This window comes from Homo sapiens, chromosome 13, assembly GCF_000001405.40.
Source record: "Homo sapiens chromosome 13, GRCh38.p14 Primary Assembly".
Classification (NCBI taxonomy): Eukaryota; Metazoa; Chordata; class Mammalia; order Primates; family Hominidae; genus Homo; species Homo sapiens.
In genome coordinates, this window is record NC_000013.11 from 50,705,256 (window position 1) to 50,731,359 (window position 26,104).

Genomic DNA, 26,104 nt, shown 5'->3' on the forward strand with positions numbered 1-26,104 from the left:
CCCGGGCTCAGCGATTCTCCTGTCTCAGCCTCCCGAGTATCTGGGATTATAGGTGCCCGCCACTACGCCTGGCTAATTTTTGGTATTTTTAGTAGAGATGGGGCTTCACCATGTTGGCCAGGCTGGTCTTGAACTCCTGACTTCAGGTAATCCGCCCGCCTTGGCCTCCCAAAGTGCTGGGATTACAGGCATGAGCCACCATGCCCGGCCCAATCCTTCTTCTATTGGGGTTGTTATTAAAAGAGAATAGCAGAACAGAAAGAAGTCTTAAGAGTCCAGGCTCTGGAGTGGGCTATTGGGATGCAAAATAATCTAAAGTATTCTGTGCCTCAGTTTCCTTATTTGTACAAAATGGATGATGATAATACCTCTACCATAAGGTTGTTATAAATATTTAACTGGTTGCTATATGTAAAATGCTTAGAATAAAGCCTGACACATCAGTGGAAATTCACTATTACTCTCTCCATTGGACTGAAGCTGGCAGCTTTACAATTACAGCTGTTCACATACCATAGTCCCCATTCCTGGTACAGCTACCTTCTTTGTGGCTCTTCTCTTTAGATCAAAGTAGCACCAGATAGTGCAGCAAAAGATCATGTTCATGTTAGAGAAAACTGGTTCTTTACCTCGAATAGCTTCCCATATGTTCTGTGCAAGGTTGGTGCTATAATTTTTTTAAGTACCTGCAAATTTCATTCAGAATAACCATATTTAACTTTTCTCATATAAATGTGGTGGTTGTTCTGGTATGAGATTCAGCTCCCTGTCTGTTTGGGTCCTTGGGCTTGGTTCACAGCTTCTCAACAGCTGTCTTCAAACACGCAAGAATCTACCCTGCCTAGGCCGACTCTCCCAGACGTGGCCCTAGGGTGTTTGGAGCCATGCTACCTCAGGGTATTTTCTTTTTCTTTCTTTCTTTCTTTCTTTCTTTTCTTTCTTTCTTTCTCTCTTTCTTTCTTTCTCTTTCTTTCTTCCTTCCTTTCTTCCTTCCTTCCTTTTTTTTTTTTTGACATAGGGTCTCACTCTGTTATCCACGCTGGGGTGCAATGGCATGATCATGGCTCACTGCAGCTTCGATGTCCTGGGCTCAAGCAATCCTCCCACCTGAGCGTCCTGAGTAGCTGAGACTACAGACATGCATCACCATGCCCGGTTAATTTTTTTTTTTTTTTAATTTTTGCAGAGATAAGGTCTCGCTGTGTTGCCTAGGCTGGTCTCAAACTCCTAGGCTTAAGCGATCCTCCCACCTCGGCTTCCCAAAGTGCTGGGATTACAGGCCTGAGCCACCTCACCCGGTTGTATTTTCCTTCAATCAATGACATTCAGCTTCCTGCTGTCCCCTCCAAGAGTGTGAAGGGCTGGCATCAGGTTGTTGCTGGAAATATCAAGGCAATCAGAAGGCTGGATCATTCCTGTAGCAGTATTGGCTGAGTGTCCAATGGGCTGGAGCCATTGGAGAAGCCAGTTCTGACCATTACCCAGGGTTTACATCTGACTCCATGGGCTTCACTAAAGTTGTTGGCCTGGTTTGGATAGTAAGCACTTGAGTTTATGACTTCTAGATAATTTTTCACTATAGCAGCCAGAGCTCAGGGTGAGCAAAAGGGAAAACTGTGATATATTTATGGTTTCTCTCTGGCAGTGCCTTAGGGTGGTGCATTCTGGAAGGTGCTGGAAGTTGGGCCAGTAGGAGCTGAGGGGATGTGAATAAGGCACTGATAGCATCTGCCACAGTCCCTGATGGGTCCGTTCTCATCCACTTACATCCCACTTAAGTTTAGTCTGTCTTGTCATTGATTCTTAATGGGGGTGACTGTCAATACTTTTTTAAAGGAAAATAGGCTGGGTGCAGTGGCTCATGCTTGTAATCCCAGCACTTTGGGAGGCCAAGGCGGGCGGATTGCCTGAGGTCAGGAGTTCACGATCAGCCTGGCTAACATGGTGAAACCCCATCTCTATTAAAAATACAAAAATTAGCCGGGCACGGTGGTGCACGCCTGTAGTCCCAGCTACTTCGGAGACTAAGGCAGGAGAATCACTTGAACCCAGGAGGCAGAAGTTGCAGTGAGCCAAGATCGTGCCAGAGCAAGACTCCATCTCAAAAAAAAAAAAAAAAAGGAAAATAATTACTGCAGAAAGGTTAGTGGGCCAGGGTACAGTCCCTACACAGAAGCTGGTTCCTAGGTCATAATTAATATTTATGATCCCAGACCTTAAAGTCTGAAGGATCTGAGACCTCTGAGTTCCTTCATCTCTGTCAGTCCATAGTTTCTGTAACTGCCCATTTGGTTACTACCAGGAAAGAAAACACCTAGAGAGATTCCAACAAATCCCCTTAAGAACCAGCCTCTATAATATAATAGCTACTCTATCTCTTCCTGATAAACAGGTAACTTCTTTTTTTGCCTGTTGCTCTACAGGCATGAGGAACCCAAAATAACCAGATGGCAGCTGTTGCTTTAGGGCTAATGTAGTGCTTCCTGTGTCTGCTGGCAGAAGAGCTCTCCATCTGCCAGTTAGAAACCATAATCTCTGGTCCAGCAGACCAGACTAGGGGACAAATTCCCCAAGTAGACCATGGGAAGTGATAGTGTCAGGAGCCACTCCTCCTCTTACCCCTTGTTTCCTAAACCCGTGAGTTCTTCCTGCTGGGGGCATTGTACCCTCAACAACATTGATCTAGACAATATGCCACATTTTGAATGACACCACCAAAACACTGCAAGTGGCATTCTCAGGCTGGAACCCCAGCTGTGCCTTTAAAACAGCATTCAAATTTTCTACCAGACTAGCTCTAGGGTGATATAGTATAGAGTAGGACCAGTGAATACCATCGCTGTGTGTCAATTATAGTACTTCCTTCCCTGGAAAGCAAGTCTGTTGGTCCAGGAAATGTTAGGTGGGATCCTGAAAAAGCTAAATCAGACCCTCTGTGAGTGCTCAAATATCTTTCAAATGCTAGTGGTATTACAGAAGCCAATCCATCAATATCCCATCCAAATCCATCGTGAATATTACAGTACACAGCATAATTACCTGCCACTTATATCCCATCCAAATCTATCATCAATGCCACAGTAAGTTGGGGTTTGCCACCATACCACTTACCACCAGCAATGGGATTTGCTTATTGCTACTTGTCAAGCAAGTGATGTAGCTCCAGACTGTATCCTAAAGATCTGCTTCCTAGGATTACTTCTCGTACCAACTGTCTTAGCTTGTGTTCCACCAGAAGCAGATGCTGAGCTAAGTTTTTGCGTGTAAGTAGTTTATTGTGTAATTGACCCCAGGAAATATCAATAACAGTGTGAAGAAAGGAGACAGGGACAGCAAGGCTGTCTATAAAGGGCACATTGCCAAATAAGCTTTGGCAACTATGGGCGACTGGAGCTAAATGCACTAAGGGGAACTCTAGAAGACCAAGTAGTGCACATTCCTGACTTATCTCTTCTGAGGGGTGAGGAAGCTGGCGCATTCATTTATCAGCTCCCATTTATCATTGGTAGAGGCAACTCCTGGGGGAAGAGAGGAGGGCTATTAACTCCCCTACATTTCCAGCCTGCCACAGTGTATAGGGACTGAAAAAACTGGGTGTAGGAGAAAACTTTCAGCAAGACTCACAAGTGCTGGCACTCAGAAGTTGATCCTGTATGCCCAGATGTGGGAAAGGCTGAGGCACTGTGGGAGTGGTCTGCTATAATGTACAGGAATTATATATGAATACCAGTGAGCGATTAATATGAACCAAGGGCGGCTCTATGCGCTATATGTGTGTCTCATGTATTTCTCACATCATGAGAATAGTAATAGGGCTTACCTATTTACTATCCTCATTTTCCAGATGGAGAATCTGAGGCTCAGAGGTGTTAAACAATTTCCCCAAGGTCATTCAGCTATTCAGTGGAGGTGCTTGGATTCAAAATCAGGGACTCTTCACTTTTCCAGAATATGGAGGACTATGATGCAACTGGTAGTAAGTCACCAACAGACACTGGCTGAGTGAGATTTTCTTTAATACCGAAGGCATTAAACATCATAGAGGCAACTAAACAAAGCAGAAAACCTCATAGCGTGCTCTTGGTTGTAGGTACTGATTTGAGTGCTTATGAGGATTTACAGCTGCAAATAATAACAACTATCTGGAATTAGGCCTTTAGCAGGCATGAGAAGCTATTTTGTTCCATGTGCACAGGTTTTTTACAACCTCCACATCCTACCCTTATGCTATCTAAAATGATTCTAAGGTCTATAGCTATATATTTACCCCAGCACATTTCTGAGGATTGATTGTGAGATTGGATGAATCAGTTGTCAGTTTTCTAGGTGCACTGTCATTCAGCAGGTCTAGGCTTCAGGCATGCATGAGGTTTTTCTTGCAGAGGGGAAGAGTGAGAAAGTGAGGATAAATCTCCTGAAGCAAAGAAGCCTTAGAGAGGACACAGTAAGAACTAGAAGGGCAAATGTCTCAGAGGCCAGTTAAGTATCAGAAAATGAGGAAAGCAGGCTCAGTGCACAGTAATAGGGAGTAGTGAGGACTGTGGCAAAAAGGCCAGCACATTCCCTGTCTGAAAGTGGCAGCAGCTACTCAGCTCAGCCAAGTACAGTAGTATCCCTTTATCTACCGAGATATATTCCAAGACACTCCCCTCCCAGTGGATGCCTGAAACCATGGGTAATACAGAACTCTATATATACTATGGCTTTTTTTTCCATCTAATAACTGAGACAGCTACTAAGTGACCAATGGGCAGGTAGCATCTATGCTGAACAAAGGGGTGATTCACATCCCAGGCAACACAGAGTGGGACTCAGAGATTTCATTACCCAGAACAGTGTGCAATTTAAACCATATACATTGTTTATTTCTGGCACTTTCCACTTAATATTTTCAGACTATGGTTGATCACAGGTAGCTCAAACTGCAGAAAGTGAAACTGTGGATAAGGGGGTACTAGTTTTACCATTTGGGAATGTGGCCCATTGCTTTCAGAGAATCAGCAATTTCGTTAGTTGAAAATACAAATTTCTGTGGGTAGTTTTCTAATTTTCAAATGTTAGTAGCTAATTTACAATTATCTAAAATACTATGTGGGCTAATTTGTGAGCTTTGCCTTAATGTTTGTAAGACTAATTGTCACTGGAAATGGAATTCTGCCTGCCTGTGACCCCTGAGTGATAGAAATAGAAGCCATAAGTGGCAGTTACAGAGAAATAGGCCTTGGTCCAAAATAAGAACACATTTTCTAATAATATTATTCAAAGGCAGAGTGTTCTTCTCTAGGGCATGAGTTGCTCATTTCTATAGATGTTCAAGTATCAATTGGTTGGCATCTTTGCCAGAACTGTGTAAAGGAAGACCAGGCATCAGATAGATGGGATGTTAGACTTCACATCTCCCTTTCAAACCTGAGCTCCTTTGAATCAAAAGCACTACTTTTTCACAAAGGTTTCAATTCAAGCTGGACTGGGCATTCAGAATGAGCCTTTTGGTTTTACTTTCTGTGTCATACGTAGAACACATGTGTGTCTCTTCTGGTCTGTAAATATAGGATGGGACTGAGATGCCTTTTTCAAGGGAAAATGTTTCAAAGGCTGATTATTACTATTTTAGACTTTCTATCTCTTGGGTTTGCCTTGCCCTGAGTTGGCCTGTGTTTCTTCAAATCCACTCAGCAAGGTTCAACTTGGTTTGGCTGTGTCTCTGCTGGTATTATTTTCTATGGAAATAAATGCACACAGACTCTGATAATTTATATACATTCAGATGTAACCATAAGGAGAAACCAACACTTTACTATATATTTTTAAATTTCCATAAATCTGGGATCTGGAAATGAACAATTTTTCTTCTGAACACACAAAATTGGCAAAAATACCAAATTTGCCAATATTGGTATTTTCTGTACCCTCAAAAATATTGAGTATATCAATATAACAATGAAAATGTGAACATTTAAGCAAAAACAATTTGGCCAATTAAACCAGATATACCAATTAATTCAATGACAAAAATAAGTCAAAGAACTCAGCTTTGGCACATGGAGGCATTCAAGACACCAGCATCTGTTTTATTTTTGACAGCAGCGTCTGGTCCTTATATATTCATCTAACACTTTCAGTAGATCTTGACTTCGGTATGAAACTTGCTCACATTTTCAGATCTACAAAGGACAGATTTTAACCATTATTCTGAAAATGCTTTCCTTTCCATAAGAAAATGAAGAAAAAAGCCTGCTTTATATTAAAATGCTTATTTTAGCCATGAAGATAAGCCCTAGCCATTCTCAGATGCTGAAATACTTTGGTTTGGAAGATCTTTACTGCATGGTTCTTGGCCTGGAGCCTTATCACGCTAGAGAATCCAATCCACGTGAATGTTCTGTTTTTCAATCATTTGTTTGCAAAGTCTAATCTGGAAGGGGAATTAATATTATTAAGGACATTTTATGTGCAAGGGCTGTGCCAGGCATTTAACAAGTATTATCTTGTTTAACCCTCACAATGACCCAGTGGCGGGGGCGGGGGGCATTACTACCTATACCTACATGAGAAAGCAGGCTCTGGAGCATCAGAATCAAATCAGAGCCTGGGACTCAGGGCAGCCAGCTCCAAGGTCACACAGGATTTTTTTTTTTTTTTTCTGCGTAAGAAAAATATTGGGGAAAGGAGAAGAGAAATCCATTGTAAACTTAGGTAATCCAAAATTAAATTTCAGGGACCATTTATGAAACTATCTCTTTGAATCGTAATTCCAGTTACACATTAAATTTAACTGTAGGGAGACCTGAGTACAAACATTCATTGATTAGCCTTACAGTAAATTTGTGAGATCAAAACTTCCTAAATCCTATTGCAGATGGTACTAGCCACTGACTTTGACTTTCAGCTGTTAGACTGATCATTAGCAAACAACTTCTGGGCCAAGTGCCCACATCAGTTTTGAGGGAACTTTGGGATTTTTCTTTGCTTTGATTTGTAACAATCTATGTACGCCTTCTTTGGTAACCCTGATGAGAGCTCAAAGTAGGACTTTAAGCAGATATCCTAAGGCCAATATCCCAATTCTGCGTTTGTTTTTTTCCTTGAGGTTTAAACAGTATGTTGAATCAACATTCTATCAAGAGCTTTTTTAGTGCTTTTACCAAGAAGTTGTTAGTGAGAGCTGCATTCAGTTCAACTTTCTTTCTCGGTTCCTTTCCCTACCCTGGTTTAGTGTGTTGAAAAATCCTTTTGCATCAGCATTTATGCAGCATATAATTTTTTTACTCTCATCCAACAGGCACATTTGGATTTACTATTTCACTTGAACAGTTGGTGTTTACTGGCAGCAACAAGAACAAAATTTATAGCAGCAAATGGAAGCTGAACTCGCATGCTGGCTTTGCACTGAAGAACTTTGTGTTTGCCATTTCCTAATTGTGAAAACAATATGTCCAAGATTTTGCAGTCATCAGCATTCTGATGTAACGACTTCCATCTGGTCAAAGGAAGAAATTCAGAACCTCTATCTCCTTTTGAATTCTACTTCAGTGCAAAGGTAACTGGCTTAGGAGAATGTTGGAAGACAAGAAATTCAGACAATACATTCTGAAAAGCGACTATAACATCCACTTTTCCAGGGGATAATTTTCCTGAAGAGCAAACAGGGGTAGGGAATTTGTCACGATCTTCTTAATGGAAGCGGCTCTAATTGGAGCAAGATGACAGGATTACTTGGAGGTGAGAGAGGATAAAGAAAGCAGGATGATTTGTGGCGCGTTCCAATCGGAGGTAATAAGAAGTCAGAGATCCACAGAGACCATGCAATTGGAGACCAATACGAAGGCAATGGAGGCCAACAACGTGGTAATAAGAAGTGGTTTAACATCCCATCTCATCCCATCTGGCATTCAGAATTTGGCACTGGTTATTGAAATATGAAGCTCCTGATGGTCCTCACACTCCTACAGTGACCTTCTTCACTCATTAGCCAGGAGTTGAAGCTGAAAGAAATGTAGCATAATATCTCAAATGCTTGCTTTGCATTTTTTATATTCATTGATTCAACAATTATTTACTGAGCACTATATTGCATTTTAGGAATGGCATTAGGTACTGGAGATATGGGCTAACACACATTTCTTGGCTACCCATTATAGATAATTACATGAGAAACACAAAATATGCATAGAAGGACCCTAATTTCGAGTCAAACAACCCAGGAAGAAGACTTCTCTATAGCTATCTTTATACTTTATATTAATCTTTTTCTTTGTATTTTATGTTCATCTTCTTCTTCCTGAAATGAGAAGGGAAGGAAAATAGAATTCTAGAAATAACCTTACAGCTGCCCTTCACTCTATGGAAAAAGTGAGCTCTTGACAGGAAAGGGGTTCTATCCATGATCTTACAATTCCTAAACAGCAACAGCATCATGGACGTATTTGTTCCTGGCGTCATAAGCCTGCATACGGTAGGCATTCAGTTAATAGGTACTGATTGGTCTAACAGAGGAAGCTGGGCTTGATTATAAAATAAACTAGGCTATGAAATCATGCCTCCTAAAAGCTCATTAAAGGCAGCAACACGGGATGGGGACTGTAAGGAAGTTGTCTCCCACCTGCCTCCCTCCTCAGACACACATCATTCCGCAGATGTGAAAACGACCCAGACTCTGCCCGCATGTGGCCTCCCGGACCGGGCAGTAGGGCCTTGCCCCTACCCTCATGAAGACTGTCGGCTGTGTTACAGAACTGCTGCTCTGTCTCTGACTCCCCTCACTCCCATGCTCTGTTGGAAACTCAAGTTGTGAAACCACAAAACACAGAAAGGAAGTGGTCAACTATTGCACATACTCAAGCTATGTAGTCTCAGTTTATTCCATTCTTGCAGGATCATTGTAGGAAGGCATAAGAGTCCTGCTTACTGGTGAGCCACTGAACACAAACTCCCTTCTCACCTCTGCCTTGGATCCCGCCATGCCTGAGGTCTAGGGCTAGAAGCGTTGTTTCATCCACATTAATTCCGGTCTTGGGCAACGTGGCTATTTTCTGACCTGTCTGTCTTCCCACCCTAGTGGTGAATTCTCTTTCTGGGATCTCAACTCCTTCTCCTGTCACCCAGCTTTTTCCGAGCAACCCCAGTCCATCTGGCATATCATTAGAATGTTAAACCTAAAACGGTAAGCCATTCTGTGAATACCTTTAAGTAACAGGATATTAAAATGAGACTTTTCCTGTTTTCTCAGTGCTAGCTGACATCTTTGAGCTGAGAAAAAAAAATATTGTTAAAAATGCTCATCTATTCTCAGGAGATGTCATCTGCTAAGGAGTGACCAAAAAAATGGTCCAATAACCCTGAAACCATCGCTCAAATCTTAGCTACGCAAGGGGAGACTTGTAAATTAATGAGGACGGCAAGGATTTCATGAGACAGAGCTTTCAGGCTGCTAAAATGCTTCCTCCTCCCTTCTCATGTGTTTTCCCCTCATCTTACGCAAATAAGAGGGGGCCTTCAGAGAATTACTTGGAGAGCTGACCTAGGACCCCTAGGCTTTGGGGAACATAGAATGTATTAGTGTCTATTGCTGCTGAAACAAATTAGCACACATTTAACAGCTTAAAAATAGCAAAATTACTACCTCACAGTTCTGTAGGTTAGAAGTCCAGTGGGCGCGGCTGGTGTGTGGGCTTCAAGCCTCACAGGGCTGAAATCAAGGTGTTGGCCAGGCTGTACTCCCTCCTAGAGGCTCTAATGAAGCATCTGTTTCCAGGCCTCTGCGCCTTGTTGGCGGAATTCAGTTCAATTTGCCTGATGGACTGAGGTCCCTGCTTCCCTGCGGGCTGTCGGCGGGAACTGCCACTGGCTCCTTGCAGCCTCTCTCTGATTCTTGCACAAGGGCACCTACATCTCAGAGCCAGCGAGAGTGTGAGTGTGTGGAATCCTTCTCACGAGGCCTCATCTCTCTGACTTTCGTCGGGAAATGTTCTCTGCTTTTAAAGGATCATGTAATTATTTTGAGCCTACCCGATAATCCAGGATAATCCCCTCATCTAAAAATCTGTTACCTTAACCACATCTGCAAAGTCCCTGTTGCCGTGTAATGTAAGCTATTCACAGGTTCTGGGGATTAGGAAAAGGACATCTTTGGTGGGGGCCTTATTCAGCCTACCACATAGAGATTAGTACCTGAAAAGCCAGCAGGTGAGAAGCTAGACAGAGCAGCCGGTGGCAGCTAAAGGAGAAAGGGGGCGAGAGCTGGAGAAGTCGCACTTCCGCCGATGGCGCAGCAAAGGGGATGTTGCCCTGGAGGACTCAGGGAACGGAACTGGGCTATCAGCCGAGAATGGGGCTCCACTCAAAAGGAGGAACCAACAGGAGACACAAGGAACCCCAGCAGGAAGAAGTCGGAGATGGAGGAGGGGAAGTCATAGCTGGAGGAGACGTGTGTTAGGAAGCTACAATGGCAGCTCCCTAGTGGAGGTGTTTCGGAAAAACTCCGAAGATTCCACTTGAGAAAATCATCGGCCTTCAGACAACGTCTATGCCAGATAATGCTACCAAATCACAACCTTGCCTTTCCTCCCTACTGCTGTTCTGATGTGGGAGGACCCAAAGGCAGCAGAAGAGCCAAAGAAGAGTAGCAGAAAGGTAAGTTTGGCTGTCATGCCCTGGCACACCTTGCTGCTACCCTGCAGCTCCCTGCCACCTGGCCATGCACTGCTTCCCCTCCACACCCTGCTGAGGCAGGTCTGGGCTGGGGACACAGGAAGCTTTGATGTTAGACTGAACTGGACCTTCAAGATCTCAAAACACAAAGTATTTGTTAGTAACTGAAAGGTGGCATAAATGTTAGATCAACCTAGGATTTTATCACCAAATAAGGAAACAAGTTCACTGGGCAGTTCTAAGAAAGAATAGAATTGCTTCCTGCTTGGTCTTTTTTGTTTAATAGACCAGATTCACAAATGCCCCAACCCTTCTCTAGCAATGTGTAGGTTCTGATCACCAAGGGCTATCTCAAGAGAAGGGCCAAACATCTCCATTAACAGGAACTCAAGCCCTTGTTTCATTGAAATGTTTGGTTACAGCTTAATGACCACAGTTGCAAAGCCAGAATATTGAGTTTTTATATGCTATATTATTTACATGGAATAATGCCCTCTTGGTACCATATTGAACATAGTAAATTCTCTGTTAATTGACACTATACAGAAAGAGTACTTTGACTGATCGAGGAAGGCTAATGTTTTTTGATCTCTAATCCTTGGGCTACCTTTTCCGTGATGTCACGGAAAGAGCATTAGACTAGTTATTGTTCTAGAACTGGGACTCTCACTAACTATATACACGTGGGCAGATCATTTTACATTTTTGAGCATTGGTTTCTTCATGTGTAAGGTGGTAACAACAATGTCTCCCCTGCCTTGTTCATAGGATTGTAGGGAGAATCAAATGACATAATGGTCATGAAAATATATTTCTAAGTTGTAATCTGTATATGTAATAAGGTGTTACTAGTAATTGAACATTTATATATATTCTGTAACAGGTTGTAAACTTTTAAAAGAGATCTAGTACACCAGGCTTAATGGACTATTTTTTGAAAGACACATCAAAAACTGTTGACAATAATTGCCTCTAGGTAGAGACATGAGAGTGATGGGAAGGAGGCAGACTTATTTTTCACTCAATTTCCTTTTGTATCTCTTGAATTAATACTATATATACACATGACGCATTTAATTTAAACCAATACAATTCAATAACTATTTGAGAAGTTAAAGAAAAAAGATATATTTATTCTGAATAATAAATTGAAAATAATCTAATCTTTCTGTAAAATGGCTTTTTAGGATCTTTAATACTTTAGCTTTAAGTGAGATGATTTAGTTGATGCAACCAGCACAGAACTTGGCACACAGTGGGTATTCAAAAAGTGGTAGAGCCCTTTGCCTTGAGGCCATCATATGACTATCCACTCCCAGTGAATTTGCTATATACAAGGATATAGTTAATGGGATGCTGGATATTAGAAAGTTTATTGGATTTTACCAGGATGCTGGACACAGATGGTAAGTGGAAAATGCCAGAAAGTTGATGAATCATCTGGTAAACTAGTGGAAAAGGTAAATGGAGCCAGAAAGAGGCCAGAGAGGGCAAGGAAACAGAACAGGTCTGGAGAAAGGCAACTACACTCATTGTATCATGTAACCCACTTTTCAGTTGCTGATGTTTCCAAAATGGTAAGTACATTTTGCAAACTGGAGTTATTCTGATCTTCATGCTATTAAATGCTTATTAATTAACAAATAGCGTGAAGTCTCATTAGCTAGGCTGTGGGTTTTTTTTTTTTTCAAATTTAGGATTTCTCTTCATTTTATGGTAAGGAGCAGGGAGTCCATAAATCAGAACACTTTATGAGAAGTTCTAACACCTAGCCCTAATGCCAAGACTGAGAATCTGATAGCATAGCTATTAAAAATTAAGACCCCTGAAAGACTTCCATTTCTGCTAACAGCAATGCCCAAGGCAGCCAGACACTATGTCTCCCTTTCTGTTTTAATGTAGTTGCATCAATTCTGCTATTCTGTTATAAAGCAAGCACCTAGAATGACATTTACAAAGCAGGCAAAATGAAAATGGAACAAAAACTCAAACTATCACATGCAGAAATCACCACCAATGCCAAGACATTATAGATAATATTGACATAGCTATGGGAAAATTTAAAATCTTGCTGCTCAAAGTGCTTCTTAAACAGCCTCATCAGCATCACATGGGAGCTTGTTTCCAATGCAGAATCTCAGGCCCTCCCCCAAGACCTACAGAATCAGAATATTTTGTTTTACAAGATCTGCAAGTGATTTCTATGAATATTGAAATTTAAGAAGCACTAATTTAAATGTATCAATGTGCTCCAGGTTAAAAAAAATGTTGCTGATGAAAAGACAACAATCGTTTTATCTCAGAAATGAGAAATGGTCAACTTTGGATTTTTCCTTGAGAATAAATAATTAATACATAAATTCAGCCCAAAACATAACATGGAAACATATTTCCAAAGAAAAGGCTTTGAGACAGTGGAACCATTTGGGTGCCATTTAAATTTAAAGAAGGAAATAGAAGAAAAAGAAGATCAAAGATGGAGACTCCAAGTCTTGGCAATTGATTGAACGTGAAGTCCTGTGAAGACCAAAGGCTCCCCACTCTGGTGATTAGAATGAGGGGCTATTGGCTGGAGAAGGAATCTACTAACTAGTGAGGTACCAACAGAATGGAGACCCAAACTAGGACATTTAAAACCTGGGATTTTTCTTCACGGGATTGCATGTTTTCTGAATCAGTCATTCTGTTTGACACCAAAAGTAGCTTTTATTGCTTTCCCCACCATGGGCCCTTGATTTAAAAGGCTTCATCTACCAAACACTCTCTTTTGCTAAATAAGAATATTTCCCCATTTTTATTCATTAAAGTCCTTTTGATCAGTGTCAGATAATGTGTGACCATTAAATTTGCTGTAATTCTACATAGAAGCAAAGAAACTTGATAATTTGGTTGGTATACAGTTTTCCATATATGGTTTTGGTTAGAAAATAACTCAAGGACTTTCCCTAATTGTGCACAAGAACAAGAATCCTTTGCTAACCTGAGTGAAATTTCTTAGGACTAAGGTCAACAATGGGGGTTATAAAATAGGAAGGGTTTTCCTACTGTTTCTGTAATGAGGTCTTCCCATTAACAAATTCAGTTAAAGTCACTAGGAATTAACTTACACACCTGGAAATGCTCAGACCTGTCCCACTTGGAAACAAACTGGAGAAACAGTAGACATCAGCAATCAGCGGGTGACTCTTTATTTTGAATTTGGGAATAATAAAATAAAGAAAAATCATTTGTAACCGTCACTTGCAATGTGGAAGGCCCTCATCATTCTAATTGCAGGGGCTGGGTTATAATCCATTACCATGAATAATTTCTTCTAGAAAGTGCCTATATAGTAAACCAGACTATCAGGACTCTAGCCAGCTTTATGTTACGTTTTTGGTGATTTAAGGAATTCTGTTACAACAGGTGACATTTTTGAGAGTGGAAATATACTTATATGGAACAAAAGTCTTAACTCCATGAGTAATTTTTAGTTGGCAGAGGTGCAAATTCTTCTTCAGTATTTCAGCATGGAGATTTTTAGTAAGGTTTTCAATTAATTAAAAAATTTAAAAACTCTTCCTCATAAAAACTCCGTACCTCAAAGGTAACTTTAATAGGTGCCTAAACTAGCTAAAAGATTGAGCTCTGTGTTGACATTTTTGGAGAATAATGCGGCAGCTGTTATGTTTGAATGTGTATTTGGGTCCCACCTTGAACAGACGGGAAACAACTGTTTTAAAATCTCTTTTCTCTGTGTAGGTTTAGGTGCAGTCATCTTGGATTTGAGTCGTGCTTGTGAATTTTCATGTGTTACAACAACCAGGTGAATATGCTGCTGTGATTCAATGTCAGTAGGAATTAATACGTGGTTTAGTTAGCAAGTTAGAACTGTCTCACATTAGACATGACTTTAGACAGTTTTATAAGAAAAATGGAATGAATTGAATATAGTCACTTGAGTTAAAGTATCTTTTACAGTCTCTCTATTCCTTTGGAGCTGATGGCAAGCCTAGAGAAGCATGCTAAAACAAGCTGACCCGAAAGTCACATTCTTCTAGTTCTCACTTTGTGGAGTAGGCACAATTCAAATATTGTAGAAGAATATCTGTTGACTTGGGGATTTGCTAACAAAGTTGAAAAACAAGCAAATTATAAAATGGTATCATGTAATAGACAACAATTTTATGGCTATCTCAGTGGTTTCATTGGTTCCTCCTCCTGGGATGGCAGCTGATCCTGGGCATGCTCTCACAGTACTACAGAAACACAGGAGCCCAGGCCAACCTCTAGGCTTGGAACCAGGGCATCGTCCCTTTTGCCTTCTACTTTGGGCCAAAGCACATCATGTGGCAAGCTGAGAGTCAAGGGGCATAGATACAACCTCAAATATGTTTCCGTGTGTTTTCATTTTTCCTTTCTTCCCTTCCTTCTTCATATGTCAGCCAAACTTGGTAAGATCTTTAAAAATGGGGCTCTTGCAAGCCTAATGACCAGATCAGGGCAAGATCAGGCTGAAACATCCTTTAGGTGAGCCAGATCTAGTGCTTTGCCTCCTGCATTTGGGGAATGTGATGATGTATGTGAGAGCACCACTAAACTGCAACATGCAACCTGTGTGAAAGACACACAGACACCATCCCAGACTATTAGACAGTTTTGTGGTTGTTATTGTTTTATTCTCATGTTATTGTTTTATTACTTAGCAGATTAACAAATTCTCAAACTAAATTCTATCCTAATATTCCTCCTAAACTTATCCTGTAGACATGTGGGACCACTTTCTCACTTATTTCTTAACAGAGAGGAATAAGAAATGGTCACAATCCTCTTTATACTTAATTTGACATGATAAACTTTTTAAGATGAAGAAAAGTAACTCCCTAAAATTATAGAAAAGGTGAGCAAATAATTGTATAAATCAGGGCAGGGAAGCCCTTTCTAAGTAACTTAATATCAAAGACAGGAGCCCTAAAGGAAAAAAAATGTAGATTTGGCTATATATGAATTTAGAATATTTATATATTAAAGCCCAGTGTGATGGTTAATATTGAATGTCAACTTGATTGGATTGAAGGATGCAAAGTATTGTTCCTGGGTGTGTCTAAGGGTGTTGCCAAAGGAGATTAACATCTGAGTCAGTGGACTGGGAGAGGCTGACCCAGCTGCAATGTGAGTGGGCACAATCTAATCAGCTGCCAGTACGGCCAGACTAAAGCAGGCAGAAGAAGGTGGGAGAAGCCGACTTGCTGAGTCTTACGGCTTTCATCTTTTCTCCCCTCCTGGATGCTTCCTGCCCTCGAACATCAGACTCCAAGTTCTTCAGCTTTTGGACTCTCGCACTTAGACCAGTGGTTTGCCAGGGGCTCTCGGGCCTTCGGCCACAGACTGAAGGATACACTGTCAGCTTCCCTACTTTTGGGGTTTTGGGACTGGGACTGGTTTCCTTCCTCCTCAGCTTGCAGACAGCCTATCATGGGATTTCACCTTGTGATCGTGTGAGTCAATTCTCCTTAATAAACTCCCCTTCACATATACATCTATCTTATTCTGTCCCTCTAGAGAACCCTGACTAATACATCTAGCATTAAAAAAAAATGCAAGTGATAAACTGGGAAATAATATTCATAATATATATGACAGATTAAATGTTTGTTATTTTTTGTTATATTATTTATGTTACTACCAAAATGGCAAAAAAATGAATAAAAATAATACAAAATTATAAACAGAAGAAGAGACAATGGACAAAGGAAATAAAATTTTTGAAAGATGGAGAACAGGTAAAAAGATCAACAGAACTGAAAACTCAAGCATCAAGTAACTGTGAAGGAAATGCCAGTGAGAAGCAAGCCAACCCTTGCAAGGCAGCACTAGAAAGTCTAGGCATGGGAAGTACTAGCTAGTGTGGAAGGCAGTGCATTTCACAACAGGAACAACGTAACATCCAATAAGTATGACCAATACCTTCAAAATCACTAGAAAAGAAATGCAAATTTTAAAGAGATTTATATCAGGCTGCAAAGGCTGAAAATATAATATTCAGCATTTTTTTTTCATTCATTCTTCAAATATATGCCAGAAGCCAGACAACCCTTTTGAAGAGCTTTTCTGCAAAGGCCCATTTACATTTCCTTCACAGAGAAAGGTGAGAGCAAGTAGAGAAGAGCATGGGGTTGTGTGGATTGTGAGAATGGCCCCGTTTCTTCACTCATCTATATAAAGAAGCCCTTTGCCACGTAACTTTGCAGTGTCCTCCCAACATGGCTGGAGTGACCTGCCCCATCCTTGACTCTCAGCTTGCCATGTGACATGCTTTGGTGTAAAGAATAAGGTGGAAGGGATGATGTCCTGGTTTTAAGCCCAGAGGTAGGCCTGGGCTCCTGTGTTTCTGTATCATTATGAGAGCATGGCTGGGTTCACCTGCTTTTCCAGGAGGAGGAACCAGTGGGAACACTAAGATAGCCATAAACTTCTTCTCTATTACACTATACCCTTTTCTAATCTGTATTTTGACTTTGTTAACAAATCCTCAAGTCAATAAATATTCTTCCATAATATATTTTTTGGAGATTCTTGCCACTACACTTCTGGGAAACAAATGAACAAATTACATTTTCTATGTATTATTTTTCTGCTTATTTACATTAAATTAAAAAAATTCACAAAACAAGGAATACGCTATTGCAGAGTGGGTTAGGCAGTGGAATTCCTTTTCTAAAATACAATGTTATCTATTTAAAGCACACTCAGCAAAATGCTTGGCTACCTTCACAGAATTCTCTACCATAACATTAATCTATTACTTTAGCGTTTCAGAACAAGAATTCATCCTCAAGTACTATTGTCCTTCATAAACCATTCCCACAATTTTTTTCATTATTTGAAAAATTAAACTTATTTTGAGATGATTATAGATTTGCATGTAGTTGTAGGAAATACTACAGAGATTCTGTGTACCCTTTATCTAATTTCTCCCAATAGTAGCAGTTTGCAAAACTATAGTACAACCTGGCAACCAGGATATTGACATCACAGCATTCCATTGATCTTATTCAGATCTCTCCAGTTTTACTTGTACTCATTTGCAAAACAACTTTAGAGGCTATGGAATATTCTATTGTATTGATAAATGTATCAGATTTTCTTAAGCAATCCCTTAATGTTGAACATTAGTATGTTTCTAATTTTCAGTGCAATAAAGGTTTCATAAACATTTTAATATAAATTTTATTGCATATATCTGTTTTACAGATTAAATTTCTTCAAGTGGAAATATTAAGTCAAAGAAATTACCTATTTCTAATAATTCTTACTGAAGAAGTGAAACCTAGCAGGAAGAATTGTATTTGGTAACTAGACTTTCAATTGTATTTTATAATTAGCCATCAATTTTATTTGATAATTAATGTATATTCTTCCCAATATACAATAACATCCCCTAGTTTAAAGAAACAACAAACATTATGGACCTCTATATCTATTAGCTACCATCGCATAATATTCTTCGGTAGTTTTAAACAATAATTGTACACACACACACACACACACACACACACACGTATTGGTCATCTCAGGCTTCCATAACTAAATACCATAGGCGGGGTGGCTTAAACAACAGAAATTTGTTTTTCAGGGTTCTGGAGGTTGGAAGTCTGAGACCAGGGTGTGACTGTGGTTGGGTTCTGGTGAGAGCGTCTTTGGTTTGTTGACAGTCACCTTCTTGCTGTGTCCTCATGTGAGGGGAAGTAGAGGGAGAAAAAGCTCTCTGGTGTCTTTTTTTATAAGGGCACTAATCACATCATGAAAGCCCCACCCTCAAAACCTCGTCTAAGCCTATTTATCTCCCAAAGGCCCCATCTCCAAATTCCATCACATTGGAGCTTAGGGCTTCCACCTATGAATCTTTCTGGGGTGCAGTATGGTTCAGTCTATAGCAGAAAAAAATAATAAAAAAAATATATATATGTACACACACACATATATATATATAATTTATATTCATGTATACTTGTATAGTTGAAAGTCTCCAAGATAATGAACAAAATGCTGAATGGTTATTTCTGGGTCATAGAAGGAGAGCAAATTCTAGAACTTTTTTCTTTTTGTTTCTCTGTGTTTTCCAAGTTTTATTCACTGAGCATGTACTACCATTGTGTTTATAAAATATTAAATTTTTAAAAGAAAAAGATGTTTTAAATTATGAGGTACAGATGGTCAATACATTTAATAATAAAAGTTGGAATGGCACATAGCCCATCACTAATTGAAGAAAAAGCTTTAGAATATGCAGTCCTTTAAGCAAACTAACCTAAAACTAATGAAATCCCCTTGTTCGTGATGATAGTTGCTATCACTCTCCTCTTAACTGTCTTTCAAAATAATGATCACAGGCTGAATCTCTTTTCTACCAGTGTTCTATTTATTAACTTATATTATAAAATTACTTTTTTCTTTTGTGAATGCACACCATACTTCTTCATCTTTTATCCCTGGGGCTCCCAGGCAACATCAGAGTGAGATATTTTTGTGAGTCTCAGATATTATTAAAAAGATGCTGTGGGAGGGTTGATGGAAGCACACAATATCACAGCTCCTCTTCCTCTTTTCCTACGGATGAAATCTGGCAGGCAAAAAAAAAGCAACAAAAACAAAAATTAAAGGACTCCCCAAACAAGGTGAAAGTGAATTAGAGGGAAAGTTGGGATAGTGAAAGGGAAGAGAGGCACAGAGAAAGAGTCAATTGCCTTGGAGATGATAGAGGAGATTCTGTCAACCAGGATATGTTGGGTGTTGCTGCAGTAACAAATGCCCTCCAAATCCTATAGCGCATGCCTCACTCACTCAGGCTATCGGCCCATCGCATCAGGGTGAGCTCTGCTCATCAGCATCACTCAGGAGCCCAAACTGCAGGAGCAGCCACCATTTCAAATGTCACTGGTTGCCACACTAAAAGGAAAAAGAGAGTGACTCTGAGGGTCCCATGCCAGCGATTAAATGTTTCGGTCTAAAAGTGACAGACATCATTTCTGCTTGTAACCTACATTGCCTCAAACTATTTATATGTTCCCACAACAAAGGGCAGAAGGCCTTCCTACCGCAGGTGTTCCAGAAGACCTGGAAATACTTTCCAAACAACGCTAATATCAATAGCCCATGGTCCGGGCTGACTGTATGTATGTAAGCCAAAGTTAGTTGACACAATGCCCAGCTCCCCCGTTCACAATGTCCTTGAGTCTCTCCCTGGTGCCAGCAGTGACCTACCTTGCCTCCACTGGCCACAAGTATGAAGTGTCTGCAAAAGAAAGCCCACTGACCCAAAGAGAAGGGAATCCAGGTCCCAATCTTCTCCAGCCAGCCACGTGGTCATGGGCTGTGATTTTGTCAATGGGCTCATTGACAAAATTAGGAAATCCCTGAAATCTCTTTCTGCTCTAACCTGCTTTGATCCTTAGTGATGTGCACTTGTGCACCACTTTGCCAGATTGTAGGAGGATGAGAGGCTGTGCACTGCTTAAGATCTGAGGTTTGGTTTTTCCCTCCTTTAGTCAAGACAGGCTCTGTGTGCATGGAGCTCCTGCCCAGGTCTGCCTCAGGTCTGAGCCCAGACAGCAGCTGCTCCACCCCTAGGGCTTGTGGAATTAGCTATCTATGAGATTACAAAGGAATTAGCTATCTATGAGATTCAGAATGAAAAGTGAGCCCGTGTAGCATAATTTCATGTTTTCATCAAGAGCTAGTAGATTTTAAAAATCAAAGAGAAGGCAGGAAAATCAAGCAGTGGTCAGGAGCGGGGGCATGGGAGGGGAAGGAGACGCCGTGTCCACCTACAGCCATGGTTCAGCTGCTGGGTTAATCTGACTGTTAAACTGAACAGAGTTTGATGAAGTTTTTCTATTTTATTTTATTTTTCTGTACTACATCAACCAGTGGATTTTTTTTTTATTTCACTAAGTCAAACAATTATTTTACCAGTTTAAGAGGTATTCTATGACTATTAACAAATAACTCTAATCATGAAGGTCTTGGTCTAGACTTAATTAGCTTTTGGTGGTTTGGATTGGAAATACCTTATTTTTCTCATTTACTTATCATCTATTTTTGCAGCATCATTTGTATGCAGCTAAGCATTATGTCAGGCCTCAAGGATACAAAGATCAATGCAGTGTGATTCCTGCCTTCAAGGGACCTATCACTGTCTTGGAGAAGTAACGGTGAAAATTATAGTCAACAAACTACATGACTGCTTTCCCTACTTCTGCCCTGTGGCCTTAGGACACTTAGGTAACATGGCCTTGCCAACCTCTGGGTGCTATTAGACTCATGAGATCCCCAGCCAGGCCTCTCCACCTCAGCACTTTGTTGATTTGCCTCCTTTGACCATCCCCAGGGCAACATGCCCATTCCTTTTTCTGTTTTTCTAGCTCCCCCACCCACCCCTCCTCAGCTGACAGTTTACTTCTCCAACTTCAACAGCTTCTACCCAAATCCCCCTGGGAACCAGCCTGCAACAGCCACCTGACTTTCCCGCCTCCTCCTTTCACGGAACACAGGCTTCCATTTAACCAGAAATACATGTTTTTTAACTTAAATTTCCCTCGAAAATACACAAGGGTTTAAATTAAGGGTAAACGTTGCATTTTCAAATCACAAAAGTTTTTGCCAAAATTCACAATGTTTGAAAAAAATAGGTTGAGACACTTTCTGAAAGGTTTTCCCATCTGCAGTGAAATTTGTGGATCGCATGGGAGGTCTTTTCATGTGTGTCATCGTTCTAAGAGCCCACTGGCTATGCCTTTTATTTCTCCAGGCATGGGTGCACCTCGGGGGTGGGCTGAGCACCTATGAGTCTAGGTGGCAGTTTCTAATTAGGGCTGTGACCTTGACCATGCCCCCTACCTTCCTGGGCCTCAGGAAATGAAGATGGAACCAGCTCCACTCATAACTGAGCCTGGAGACTTCATGTTTCTAGACTTACTGAGATTCTTGGATGACACATGCCAATTAATCCAGTTAATCTTTTTCTTATCAGCAAGAGGCAAGAGGAAAGTGGGGGCACGGGGAAGGTGAAATTATTTATATCCTCAATTTTATATGTTTTTCTGGGCAATGTTTTAAGCACTGCACATACCATATATCTGCTAGAGGTGCCCAGCAATGTGAGACAAAACTCATAGCAGGCAATGGAATGAAGAGCCACCTCCTCTGAGCTACAAAATCATTGCTATGCTAAAAACTATAATTCTACGAGGTCTATGACTTTTTTGTCCTTAATATGTGCTAAGTGTTACCCAAAAAAAGAATAAGAAGTTCTGTACGCTCTTGCATACGTGTGTGTGTGTGTGTGTGAGTGTGTGTGAGCAAGGAGGTTTCCGAATGTATGAAGAGGCAGAGATTGAAAAATCGTCTTGTGCTATTCACAAGTATGAGGTCTAGGTATTTTTTTTTCTCTGTTTTTAGTAAGCATGTGTGCATGCATTTAGTGGGTGAGGACTGAAGAATTAACAAAAGCTCCAACCAAATACTAATTTGTTCAGTGAATGTGAAGGTAATCCAGGATGAGGCCTGATTTCATATTTGCATGCAATCACAGTATTTTCTTTGCCACCGAGTTGTTCATCTGGGAGGTGGGGGTCATTGACACCAGCTGGTTTGAGGTGCCACACCTGTGAAGGGCTGCTCCCATCATTCTCACCTGACTCTCATGAGAAGCTACATCCCCCTAAGGCCTGGGCTCCCTGTGATTCCCAAGGAATCACGTTGGGAATACCTCCAGGGTTGCTGTGTCTGTTGGTCTCAGTTCCCTGGGCCAGTCCTCTTCCACTTCCCTGAAGAGATTCCAAGTTATCCTCCTGGCTTTTCTCGGACCCTACACTGATCCCCATTACACCCTCAAGATGTGCAGAGCTGCACACTGCTGTGACTTTGGGTTATTCTGCATGAACACTCGGTGTCAACGCCAGGCAAGCTGGCTCCCCAGCCTCTTCCAGAATGAGACACCTTCTCTCTGCTTCTCCCCTGTGGGTGCTGGATCACTGCAGGTAAGTCACCTTGGGAATCTGGTGAAAATAAAGTTTCTTTCTTAGTAGATCTGGGGTGGTGCCTGAGAGTTTGCATTTCTAACAGCTTGCAGGTGAGAAAGGTGCAGTCCTGACTTTTTGAGAGCAAGACTTTGAAGTGCACCTCAGGCTGCAGATGTTCATACCTGGCAGGGTCACCTTCTTGGCCTCTGGCTCCAGCCCTGGCCACAGGAACACCTCTCAGGAGACAGGAAGAAGCTAGTCCTTAGGTTGTAAAGTAATCACATGAGGTTGGGCTTTGGTCGGGGGTGGGAATGGGTGTCTGCAGCTTTTTCCAATTACAGATAAGAAACTAGTTGTTTTAAAGACAAATAAGAAATATAATAGACTAACATTGCAGTTCCCTAGATATATATAGTCTAAGAAATAGTGGTCCTATGTGATGTTAATAGGAGTTATGTGCAAAAGGAATCTCTATGCTCAAATGAGTTCTAGAATTTAAAATCTAAACACAAGGTTAAACAAAGTTTAATAGGTTTTTACTGCAGAACTTTTCAAAAGCTTTAATAAGTGAACGTACATTATAGATCTCCAAGAAGGACATAAAGTATGCTACACTCCCCAAAAGTGTTTTCCCAGGAAAGCCCTATTTTTTTTTCAGCGAGGTTAATAGGACTAAATCTCCATGGGGAAGGGTCAAGCTCTTTGGGAAAGTGCATCATAGGAACCCACCAAGAGTTGACTTCATCAGCCTTTCTCAGCTCTTCTTTTGCCTGCCCCAAAGATTACAGAACAGGAGTGTTTGTTTTCTCAGATTCATTTGTGATAACTTAGTCATTTTAAGGATGTTCATGTGTCCATTGACTTTTTTTTTCTTTACAAATAGCACACATTTCTCTCAAATGCTAAGCCTGGAATATAAAAATTATGTCATCATGTCACCTGTTCATATGCACATCATACTCACTACTGAAGGGTATTCCTTTACCACTGTCTCCCCTCCTTAATATACAGTTGACCCTTTACAGGGGTGAGGTTTGGGGCAATGACACCCACACCTGCACAGTTGAAAATCTTTGTATAACTTTTTTTTCAGAATTCTATCAGATATATTTATTTATTTATTTGTCTGTTGTTTTTGTTTCAGAGAGACATGTGCAGGTTTGTCACGTAGGTACATTGGTTTCACGGGTTTGGTGTACAAATTATTTAATCACCCATGTATTAAAATAAGCATAGTACTCCATAGGTAGTTTTCAGATCCTCACCCTCCTCCCACCCTCCACCCTCAATTAGGCTAAAGTGTTTGTTATTCCCTCCTTTATGTCTATGTGTACTCAAGTGCTTAGCTCCCACTTATAAGAAAGAACATGCAGTATTTGGTTTTCTGTTCCTTTGTCAGTTCACTTAGGATAGTGACCTCCAGCTCCATGCATGTTGCTGCAAATGACAATATCTTATTCTTTTTCATGGCTGCATAGTATTCCATGATATATATGTACCACATTTTTTTTATTCAGTCTACTATTGATGGGCACCTAGGGTGACCCCATGTCTTTGCTATTGTGAACAGTGCCACAATGATCATTTGTGTGCATGTGTCTTTATGGTAGAAATATTTCTATTCCTTTAGGTATTTACCTAATAATGGGATTGCTGGATCAAATGGTACTTCTGTTTTAAGTTTTTTGAGAAATTACCAAACTGCTTTCCACAGTGGCTGAACTAATTTATAATACAGTGTGTAAGCAGAGTATAAGTGTTCTCTTTTCTCTGCAGCCTTGCCAGCATCTATTATTTTTTGACTTTTTAATAATAACCATTCTGACTGTTGTGAGGTGGTATCTCATTGTGGTTTTGATTTGCATTTCTTTGATGATTAGTGATGTTGAGCATTTTTTCATATGCTTGTTGGCCACGCATACATCTTCTTTTGAAAAGTGTCTGTTCATGTCCTGTGCCCACTTTTTAATGGGGTTGTGTGTGTTCTATAACTTTGGACTCCCTGAAACTTAACTTATCGTCTATTTTTGAGCAGAAGGCTTCCAGATAACATAAACAGTTCAATTAACACATATTTAGTATGTTATATGTGTTATATACCATATTCTTACAATAGAGTAAGCTAGAAAAAAAAAGAATGTTATTAAGAAAATCATAAGCGAAAATATATTTACTATTCATTAAGTGGAAGTGGATCATCATAAAGGTCTTTATGCTTGTTGTCTTCATGTTGAATAGGCTGCGGAGGAGGAGGCAGAGGAGGGGTTGGTCTTGCTGTCTCGGGGTGGCAGAGCTGGAAGAGGTGGAAGGGGAGGCAGCACACTCAGTGTAACTTTTACTGAAAAAAATCTGCAAGTAAGCAGATCTGAGCAACTCAAACCCATGTTGTTCAAGGGTCAACCATGTAAGCAGAATGGTTGTGGTAGAGCAGAGGAAAGGTAAGAGAAAGAGTATTTAAAACAATGAGAGCAATATATTTCCCTCATTGCTTATCACTTGCAATTAGAAAAGCCCAGCAGATTGATTTGGTTAAATATTTTGAGTAAGTTTAAGAATTTTTCTTTCAAATTCAAGAGTTTGTCTGGGCAGATAGTAGAAAAAATATAAGATAAGTGAACTCAGAGAGCAGTGCTTCCTCTAGATTCTGCTGAGGGGTCTCCATCCTGGTGAATATTTCCTTGAACATAGAAGTAAAAATACTTTCCAGGGAATCTCCTGGTTTTTAAATCAGAGTGTGGCATGCAACTGGAATTTCTGTGGTTGTGTTTCAGGCAGGCAGAAAAGGCATTTTACAACTTCAAATCTGTGGGCAATTCACTCAATGGCTGCATCCCAAAATTCTGCATCCCAAGATTACCAAAATTCTGTTGGTTATCTTTGAGAGAATTAGATAAAAAAAGATGGAGCAAATGAAGGTGTGTGTGTTTGTGTGTGGGTGTGAGGTAGGAGAATAAATAGAGTCTGGAGACAGGGAATCCATGGCTGATTCACTGACTTCCTAGAACTTAATCAAAAGGAAAACCCCACCTCTCCACACCCACATAACAAAAGGATCAGAGGCTACTCCTTTTACACTGCATAGCCGATGAAAAATGGAAAGTACCCCTGATTGGTCCCCTCCTGCAACCAATCAGACAGGTCGTGGCCCAAGTCTTCATGTCTAACTTTGTAACTTCACTTCAGCCTCTGATTGGTCACCTCCTGTGACCAGAGTGGTCGTCGGCCAAGTCTTCATTTATGGAGAGTGTAACCAAGTAACCAATGGGAAACCTGTAGTGGGTATTTAAACCCCAGAAAATTCTGTAACCAGTGCTCTTGAGTGGAGTGTACTTTCATTTCAATAAATCTGTGCTTTCATTGCTTCATTCTTTCATTGCTTTGCTTGTGCATTTTGTCCAATTCTTGGTTCAAAATGCCAAAAACCTGGACAACTTGTAGTCAAGGCCCTCCAC

The 26,104-nt window shown here is 40.7% G+C and overlaps 1 protein-coding gene across 1 annotated transcript in view; it reads right to left on the minus strand.

The window, feature by feature from the left end:
- Positions 1–5,770: 5,770 nt before the first annotated feature.
- The window catches only part of DLEU7 (deleted in lymphocytic leukemia 7), a 132,914-nt gene continuing 112,580 nt past the window's right edge, over positions 5,771–26,104 (minus strand). The window contains exon 2 of the mRNA NM_198989.3: positions 5,771–7,985. Coding sequence (NP_945340.2) covers positions 7,962–7,985 — 24 coding nt within the window. The 3' untranslated portion in view covers positions 5,771–7,961. The remainder of the gene's footprint in view (positions 7,986–26,104) is intronic.